At 47.4% G+C, this 8,571-nt stretch overlaps 1 annotated feature.

Annotated features, from left to right (window-relative positions):
* Window positions 7,620–8,367: an enhancer, noted in NCBI's record as "NANOG-H3K27ac hESC enhancer chr2:97128139-97128886 (GRCh37/hg19 assembly coordinates)". NCBI's record gives its function as "activates a minimal SCP1, AML or CMV promoter by ChIP-STARR-seq in naive H9 embryonic stem cells {active_cell/tissue: H9 hESC(naive)}" and the evidence as "EXISTENCE:reporter gene assay evidence [ECO:0000049][PMID:30033119]".

The following is an 8,571-nucleotide window of genomic DNA, read 5'->3' as shown; positions in this document are numbered from 1 at the left end:
AAGCCCGCACGGACCCTCCTTGGTACCGCCCTCTGCCGGTGGGTCGCGGGGCTGGAACCCTGCGCAGGTCCCTCAAGGGGTCTCCTTCCTGTTCCCGCCCTGTCCCATCCTGCCTCCCCAGTCTTCTTCTGCCCCTTCCCCTCCAGCCTGCAGGCTCCTAGTACCGCGGACCCTGCAGCTTCGGGCTCCGTCTGACTATTTGTGTTCAATAAACATTTGTTGAAGTGATTTAAGGAAATAAATCATACACAGGAGACTTTCGTTTGAAAGGGAAGGACCCTAGGAAGAGAACTATAAAACCAGCCTTAGGACATTAGAGAAAATCTGAACAGATGGAAGGCATATCACATTCTTGCATAGGAATATTTTTGCATGGGTAAATAAATGACCAAGGTCTGCAAGATAAGCATGAAAAACAGCAGCCGGCGGAACCAAATGAGGACATTTTGTAACCAACCGATATAGTGTCTATGTGGGAAGAGACAACTAGATTCCTGGAACAGTGAGACAATTCAGGAAGGGAGTCCAGTATATGCGAGGTTAACGGATTAAAAAGGAAGCGTTACAAGTAAGAGGGAAAAGCTAGCGTGTCCCCTCAATGGCCCTGGCCAACCTGTCTCTCCATCAGAAGGAAATAAACTGGACCCTCTCACACACCACAATCCCAAACTGAATTCTAGATGACGTTATAAATGTTAAAATAGCCAAAACCAAACCAAAGCAAAACTGAAGAAACCTAGGAGACTGATTCTTAGCCAAAATAGGAAATTCAGAAGCTATAAAAGACAGACATGTTTGCTTATATAATAATTTTAAAACTTTGCATGGTGAAGAATACCATCAGCAAATTTAATAAAGAAACAGATGCCGGGCGCGGTGGCTCAGCCTGTAATCCCAGCACTTTGGGAGGCCGAGGCGGGCGGATCACAAGGTCAGGCGATCGAGACCATCCTGGCTAACACGGTGAAACCCCGTCTCTACTAAAAAAATACAAAAAAAAAATTAGCCGGGCGTGGTGGTGGGCACCTGTAGTCCCAGCTACTCGGGAGGCTGAGGCAGGAGAATGGCGTGAACCCGGGAGGCGGAGCTTGCAGTGAGCCGAGATCGCGCCACTGCACTCCAGCCTGGGTGACAGAGTGAGACTCCGTCTCAAAAAAAAAAAAAAAAAAGAAAGAAAGAAACAGATTGGGAAAATACTATCTAATAATACTATCTCATAACCCAAAGGACAAAGGATCATTCTCTAGAATACAGTGCGTAGTATACAAAGAACTCTTACAAATTTGCAAGAAAAGATAACACAATTTTAAAAAGTGGACAAACGACACAAACAGAAAATTCACAGAAGAGCAATCCAAATGGCCACTCAACTATAAAAACATTCTCAAGTGTATTGGTGGTTGAATAAATGCAAATTAAAGTCACAATGCTGTATCATTTGTTATCATGGAGGGCAGCCATGAGAGCTGTGGCTGGAGTTTTCCCCTTACAGGGCACTGCTTCAGGTTTTGGTAAACAGCAATTTGGCAACCTGTACTAAAATAAAACATACGCATACTTTTCACTATTGTAATTCTAGAAACAGACACACCACCACATCAGAACACATGAAAAAAGTTGTCAATGGCAGCACTGTGAATAGAGGCGGAGCACAGACGGAGCGCTCATCAATGAGGAGGTGGGTGGATTAAGATGCGTCCTCAAGGTGAGTGGCAGGAAGCAATGAGATGAAAAAATTGGAGCTCTGCTCTTTAACTTGTAGGCTTTCTACGAGGTATTTGCAAAGATGTATGTTTAATAGAATTCCACTTTTGTAAAACAAATAAGGGCCAAAATCTCCTATGCATGTCTGTGTACACACACAAGCGCGTGCACACACACACATGCACGTGCACACACACACTCGTGCACGCACACACCTGGGCATGTAAGCCTCATATGATTATATCAGTATGGAGAAGGTTCTGAAAGAATATGGGCAAGGTTACATGTGTGGGGTGAGGCAATGTGGGGTGGAGAAATGGAAAAGAGAGAGGAAGGACATAAGAGAGAAGATGGGGGCTGGGCAGTGGCTCACGCCTGTAATCCCAGCACTTTGGGAGGCTGAGGCAGGAGGATGCTTGAGCTCAGGAGCTCGAGACCAGCTTGGGCAACATAGCAAGACTGTGTCTCTACTAAAAACAAAAATAAAGGAAAAAATTACAAAAGAGAGAAGGTGGGGAGAAGGAAGGGGAATGGGGAGCTGGGAGGGAAGGAGAGGCTTGAAAGGAAAAAGGCAGGCAGGTAAAAGGAAAAAAATCTTCACAGTAGACAGACAAAAGCATATATTATATATTTTAATTTGTGTAACATTATTTATGTAGTAAATATATGCTCAGAGACATAAAAAGATATAACTTTATATCTACTAATGGTAGCAAGGCCCATGACACATATTGTGCAGTGGCATGGGCAAGGGGCGGTTTTATACACACACACATGCCCACATATGTGTACATGCCACCCACTCACACCCATATGTGTACACACAATTTTGGCTAAAGCAGCCATTCCCCATCCCACAAGTGGGATGAGTGAGCATGTAGGTGAGTGAGGAGAAAGGTCCTACAGCCTTGGCTGCCAATGTTGTCTGCCTCCAAGGGCAGAGGACCGGGTCAGGCATTGACTTCAATGGAGGTGATAGGCTTTGGCTCTGTACATTTTGGGTTGGTTTCACTGGCTACTAGGATGTTTTTCATTTTTGGAATTTAAAAGGCATCAATAAGGAACATTCTTTTTTTTTTCCAGCTGGGCACGGTGGCTCACACCTGTAATCCCAGCACTTCAGGAGGCCGAGGCAGGCAGATAACCTGAGGTCAGGAGTTCGAGACCAGCCTGACCAACATGGTGAAACTCTGTCTCTACTAAAAATACAAAAATTAGCCAGGCATGGTGGTGGGTACCTGTAATCCCAGCTACTTGGGAGGCTGAGGCAGGAGAATTGCTTGCACCCGGGAGGTGGAGGTTGCAGTGAGCCATGATTGTACCACTGCACTCCAGCCTGGGCGACAGAGCAAGACTCAGTCTCAAAAAAAAAAAAAAAAAAAAAAAAAGAACATTTTTTTCTTTTAAACCAGGGAAGTTTTGGTGAATGCCACTGGAGAACTGCCCCCTTCTCACCCAGTGACTAGGGACAGGGGAGCACCCCAACTCAGTGCTGGCTGAAGGCCCATGGCCCAGCACTCTAGAGTGGGGCCCAGAGCTGACCTCAGGGTCAAGGGGAGGGCTCAGAGAGGCTCTGCCACTGCCCTTGGCCACAAACCCTTTACAGAGCAGAGCTCGGGCTTGAACCCAAATCTGCCACTCTGTCCAAAAGCGAGTTCTATTTCAAGCCATGAGAAAACCCTTCCACTTACCACTTCTGTCACTGGACCAGGTCCTTTGATATAAGTACATAGAAAAGTCCTGACCCAAATCTCAATGGACACGTTGGTAATTTTTTTCACTACAAACACACAGTCGGAAAATTGGATAAAATACACGAAACAACTGCAGAGGCTGAGCAGCACGGGACAGGAGAGAAAGAAAGCCAATGGAGTGAGCTTTGTGACCTCCAATTTCCTACCTGGAGGCAGTTCCCAGAGTGTAGTATAGAAAGGGCATCCCCAGCAAGGTGTGGCAGTCTTGCTGAGTAGAGGACAATGGAATCGGTGTTTGCTAGGCTGTGGTAATCAGAATTTGGAAAGCAGAGTACCAGAGACAAAGAATCCAGGTGGAGAAAAGCTCCAGAAATACTAATAGGGGTCACATAAGCTTTTTGGCTGAATATCAGTATGTGAATGAATAAGGCGAAAACTCCATAAAGCCAGACAAAAAAAACCCAACTACCTGGGAAAGAACAATGACTGCATGCCAAATAATTCTCACATCTTACACAGAGCCAGGAACTATTCAAGTTTCTACCAGCCAAAGAACGGGGAGTTCTTTGAACACATGGGACATTGGCTAGAGACCCCAGAACAGCTATTCACAGAGTGAAACCACACTGAGACAAATAAAGGTTCTGGAAGCCAGTTGCGATGGTGCGTGCCCATAGGCCCACTCAGGAGGCTGAGGCCTGAGCATTACTTGAGACCAGGAGTTCAAGGCCAGCCTGGGCAACATAGAAAGACCCTGTCTCTAAAAGAAAGAGAAACAGGATATGATGGAACTGCTTTTTAAGGTAGTTAAAGGAGGTGCCTTGGAGAACTATTTATGCAAAATTAGGGCTACAGTCTCAGTAGAAGTCCACAGTAGAGAAGGGCTTATCCAAAAGGTTTGTAGGAGGCTGAGACAGGCAGACCATTTGAGCCCAGGTGCTGGAGACCTGCCAGGGCAACATAGTGAGACCCTATGTCTACAGAGCAGAGCTGGGGCTCTGAGAGTTAAAAAAAAAAAAACTTAAAAAAAAATTAGCCAGGTGTGGTGGTGCATACCTGTAGCATCAGCTACTCGGTAGCTGAGGTGGGAGAATTGCTCGAGCCCAGGAGGTCAAGGCTGCAGTGAGCTGTGATCACACCACTGCACTCCAGCCTGGGCGACAGAGCGAGACCCCCGTCTCAAAAACAAACAAACAGAAAGCTTTGTAAGGGTGACTTTTGTCTTTAGTGAAGTGAACCCCACTAAGATTTACAAGAAACTCACAAAGGTTTTAAGAAAATGGTTGGCAGAAACGCCATCAGCATGGACTGAAAGTGACAGAAACAATACAAAATAGGATTAATATCCTTATAAAAAGAGACACCAGAGAACTCATCTTCCTCTCTTGCCATGTGAGGACACAGTGAGAAAGGCCACCTACAAGCCAGGAAGAGGGCCCTTAACAGAACCTGACCATCTTGGCACTCTGATCTCGGACTTCCAGCCTCAGGAACTGTAGGAAATCAGTATGTGGTTAAGCCCCCAGTCGATGGGGCTTTATTAAGGCAGCCTGAGCTGAACCATATGAAGAGCAAATGCAGCGGCAAGGGCACCACCTTGCAGGTCTTTAAAGAGTCTGTGGAGAGCCTGGGGGAACTTGGTGGGGTTTCCTGGACCATTGAAGAAATTGATTTGAACAAAGGGAATGTAGGTTTTAAATATCAGAGAATCTGATCTGCTTGGAAACTAGAACTTTAACACAGCGGATTTTAAATGTCTGGTTGTGCCCATTAATGATAGACTGGATAAAGAAAATGTGACACATATACACTGTGGAATACTATACAGCCATAAAAAGAATGAGTTCATGTCCTTTGCAGGGACATGGATGAAGCTTGAAGCCATCATTCTCAGCAAACTAACACAGGAACACAAAGCCGAATACCACATGTTCTCACTCATAAGTGGGACTTGAACAATAAGAACACATGGATACAGGGAGGGGAATATCACATACCAGGGCCTGTCAGAGCATGAGGGACAAGGGGAGGGAGAGCATTAGGAAAAATACCTAATGTGTGTGGGGCTTAAAACCTAGATGATGGGTTGATAGGTGCAGCAAACCACCATGGCACATGTATACCTATGTAACAAACCTGCACATTCTGCACATGTATCCCAGAACTTAAAGTAAAATAAAAATAAATAAATAAATGTCTGTTTGATGTTTCCATTGCTTTTCCCTTATGCATAGTTTTCCACAAAAATCTCTCTTGCCAACTAAAGCCTTACGAGTCACAAGGTTTTTCATGAATGGCACACTTTCCAAAGGGCCTGAGAGATGCTGCATCTGGAAAATCCTTCCTCGAACCTCACCTTGAATACTGCCCCCTACACACAGACTCTCCTAACCTGCCCTCTTCCAGGTGTCATCAACTAATGGCTCCATCATCCAGAATTGGCAGGGCATGACCTCCAAGACTAGGTCATTAAAGGCATGGCTGCTTCCTCCCCACTGTCTCTTGGATTACCTGCCCTTGGTAATCTCTTGGATTACCTGCCCTTGAGGAAGCCAGCTGTCACATTGTGAGAAAACTCAAGCAGCCCCGGTGGAGAGGTCTACATGAAGAGAAGCTGAAGCCTCCTGCCAACAGCCATGTTAGTGAGCCCAACAGTCCCCAGTCAAGTCTTCAGAGAGAAGACAGCAACCCTAGCCATATCTCAAATGCATTCTCATGCAAGGCGCCTACCCAGAAGCACCTAGCTAAGTTGCTCCCAAATTCTTGACTCACAGAAGCTGTGTGAGATAATAAATATTTATTGTTTCAAACCCTTGAGTTTTAGGGTAATTTGTTATGCAGCAATAGATCACTAACACATGAGGGGTAAAAAAGTCACCTAGACTGGGCCTGTCATAAGTTTGGTTTTCTGGAAAAATAGACTGGGAAAGGGATTAGTGTGTAAAGGTTTATTTGAAAGCATTCTGGGGAACCACACTGGTGGCAGGAGGAGGCAGGGACAGGACTGCGCAGAGGGAGAACTCAGGCTGGGTTCTCTCCCCTGGCGGCCTCAGCTGCTACACAGGGAGCTCTGAAGCTGGAGTGACCCTTCAGAGCCTTCCTGAGCTAGGGTGAGAGGGCTGGCCATTGCTCAGTACACACACAGATCAGCCCTTGAAGCAGGAGAGAACCTGCCTCCAGGACTGAGTCAACCCTGGTTCCTCGGCCTGGCCTCTGTAGGCTCTGGGTTGACCAAGCAGACTGAACACAAAACATTTTGATATCTGTCAGATTCCTTTAGGGACTAGATCCATTTCTGTTCTCTGCTGTATCCCCCTGTCGGTCTGTTCCTCGCCAATACCACACTGTTTTAATTTCTGCAGCTTTATACCATGCTTAGGTTCAGTAAAGCTAGACTCCCTTCCTTGCCTGCTTTTGCTAATTTCCCTTGGGCACAATACCCCTGATCCTGTCTGCTACATCTCGTCATGGTCCAGCCCTGCCTCTGCTTCCCCCAGAGCCCCCCTCCTGGAGGGCAGCCTCATGTCCTCACCTCCAGCACAAAGCCTCCTCTCTGAAAACTCTTGGAAGACTCCTTTAAGGGAGTGTGTATGTGACTACAGAGATTTGAGGAATGGAATAGTCAGTCCTCATCATTCATGGATTCCAAGTTTGTAAATTTGCCTACCAACAAAATTTGTTACCCCCGAATTAATAATCATGGCACTATTACGGTCATTTGCAGAGCAGAGAAAAATCTGAATTGATTGCCGTTCCCAGCTGAAATCAAACAAGGTGAGCCTCTCTACCGCCTTCTTTCAGCTTTCATACTGTAAAGTGGCTTTTCCTGATCTATTTAGTATCATATTTATTCACATTTTTGTGCTTTTTTTTTTGGTGATTTTGCTGTTTAAAAATGGCCCCTAAAGGTTGGACATGGTGGCTCATGCCTGTAATCCCAGCTCTTTGGGAGGTCAAGGTGGGAAGATCACCTGAGCCCAGGAGTTCAAGGCCAGCCTGGGCGACAGAGTGAGACCTTGTCTCAAAAAAGAAAAGAAAAAAAGGAAGTCCCTTAAGCATAGTGCTGAAGTTCTATCTAATATCATTACACGCAGGAAATCTGTGATGAAATACATGTCTTTTTTTTTTTTTTTTTTACTTTAAGTTCTGGGATATATGTGCTGAACATGCAGGTTTATTACATAGGTATACATGTGCTGTGGTGGTTTGCTACACCCATCAACCCATCATCTAGGTTTTTTTTTTTTTTTTTTTTTTTAATTTATTTTTTTATTGATAATTCTTGGGTGTTTCTCACAGAGGGGGATTTGGCAGGGTCATGGGACAATAGTGGAGGGAAGGTCAGCAGATAAACAAGTGAACAAAGGTCTCTGGTTTTCCTAGGCAGAGGACCCTGCGGCCTTCCGCAGTGTTTGTGTCCCTGGGTACTTGAGATTAGGGAGTGGTGATGACTCTTAACGAGCATGCTGCCTTCAAGCATCTGTTTTAACAAAGCACATCTTGCATCGCCCTTAATCCATTTAACCCTGAGTGGACACAGCACAAGTTTCAGAGAGCACAGGGTTGGGGGTAAGGTCACAGATCAACAGGATCCCAAGGCAGAGGAATTTTTCTTAGTGCAGAACAAAATGAAAAGTCTCCCATGTCTACTTCTTTCTACACAGACACGGCAACCATCCGATTTCTCAATCTTTTCCCCACCTTTCCTGCCTTTCTATTCCACAAAGCTGCCATTGTCATCCTGGCCCGTTCTCAATGAGCTGTTGGGCACACCTCCCAGACGGGGTGGTGGCCGGGCAGAGGGGCTCCTCACTTCCCAGTAGGGGCGGCCGGGCAGAGGCGCCCCTCACCTCCCGGACGGGGCGGCTGGCCGGGCGGGGGGGCTGACCCCCCCCACCTCCCTCCCGGACGGGGCGGCTGGCCGGGCGGGGGGCTGACACCCCCACCTCCCTCCCGGACGGGGCGGCTGGCCGGGCAGAGGGGCTCCTCACTTCCCAGTAGGGGCGGCCGGGCAGAGGCGCCCCTCACCTCCCGGACGGGGCGGCTGGCCGGGCGGGGGGGCTGACCCCCCCCACCTCCCTCCCGGACGGGGCGGCTGGCCGGGCGGGGGGCCGACACCCCCACCTCCCTCCCGGACGGGGCGGCTGGCCGGGCGGGGGGCCGACCCCCCCAC

The sequence above is a fragment of the Homo sapiens genome, chromosome 2, assembly GCF_000001405.40.
Source record: "Homo sapiens chromosome 2, GRCh38.p14 Primary Assembly".
NCBI classification, from domain to species: domain Eukaryota; kingdom Metazoa; phylum Chordata; class Mammalia; order Primates; family Hominidae; genus Homo; species Homo sapiens.
Note: the sequence above shows the minus strand (reverse complement) of the source record. Positions and strands in the feature narration are given on the sequence as shown.